The following is a 1,634-nucleotide window of genomic DNA, read 5'->3' as shown; positions in this document are numbered from 1 at the left end:
ATATTGACCTACTTCTAATGAGATTGACAAGGGAATGGTGAGAAGGAGTAAGCATCAAAATCTCCATATCCCAACTATGAGAGCAGTACAGTATTCTGTTTCCAGTACTAGCTTTTCTGTGCTGATTCAGCAGGACAGAAAGGAGTAACAACAAACTTGACCTGTCTGGTTTCTAGAAATATGCAACACAAGTAACTGAGAAATCTATGAGCAAGGCTATTTTTTTCCTGATGCATAATATTATTGTAATTCTGAACTCTAAAAGAGATATTTTGCAAGAAAGACATTTGTTATTTTCTGAGACTCTCTTCTTTCATTATCCAAAGCAGAATATGAAAATTAATTAAGTTTTATGACTGTTTCTCCTTCCTTCCTTCCTTCCTTCCTTCCTTCCTTCCTTCCTTCCTTCCTTCCTTCCTCCTTCCTTCCTTCATTTTCTCTTCTTTTATTGGAGTACCTCCTTACTTTCTGGCACTATAAGATGCTGCAGCACTATCTTGTAGGTTTTCTTTTTTTAATAGTATGTATATTTTATTTATATATCATATATTTTTCATATGGAAAACCAAATATCTCAGTGCCATTACTTAGTATCAATAGTTTCCTCTAATTCATTTCCACTGCCAATATCAAGTGTCATGTATTAGGTTTCTTTATATATTTTCTCTTTTTTACTTTTTAAAAACTGATGTATAATAGTACATATTTTGGGGGTACATGTGATGTTTGCATACCTGTACATAATGTGTAATGATCAAATTAGAGTAATTGGGATATCCATCACCTCAAACATTGAAATTTGCAATAAATTATTGTTAACTATAATTTCCCCACTATACATAGGGAAATTATATATATATAGAATATATATATAGAAATTATATATATAGAATATATATATAGAAATTATATATATATAGAATATATATATAGAAATTATATATATAGAATATATATATAGAAATTATATATATATAGAAGAATAGTAAAACTTATTTCTTCTAACTGTATCTGTATACCCCTTAACAAACGTTTCTTTATCCCTTGCCCTCCTTCCTTCTCAGCCACTGGTAACTTCTATGCTCTACCTCTATGCTATCTGCATTTTTACTTCCCACATATGAGGGAGAATATGTGATATTTGTCTTTCTGTTCTTGGCTTATTTCATCTAACATAATGATCTCCTGTTCCATCCATGTTGCTACAAATGACAGATATCCTTCTTATTTTGGCTGAATAATTTTCCATTACTTATATACACCATATTGTCTTTATTCATTCATCTGTTGATGTACACTTAGGTTAATTCTGTGTCTTGGCTATTGTAAATAGTACTGCAAGACACACGGGAGTGCAGTTATAGTGATTTCCTTTCTTTTGGATACATACCCAGGAGTGGGATTGCCAGATCATATGGTAGTTCCATTTTTAGTTTTTTTTTTTCAGGAAACTCAAGCTGTTTTCCATAATGGCTGTACTACTTTACATGCCCACCAACTGTGTGTGTGAGCATTTTCCCTTTTCTACATCCTCACCAGTATTTTAATATTTTTAAAATAATAGCCATTCTAACTGGGAGGAAATGATGTCTTGTGGTTTTGGTTTGCATTTCCTGATAATTAGCGATGTTGAG

This window comes from Homo sapiens, chromosome 4 (genome assembly GCF_000001405.40).
Source record: "Homo sapiens chromosome 4, GRCh38.p14 Primary Assembly".
Classification (NCBI taxonomy): Eukaryota; Metazoa; Chordata; class Mammalia; order Primates; family Hominidae; genus Homo; species Homo sapiens.
Note: the sequence above shows the minus strand (reverse complement) of the source record.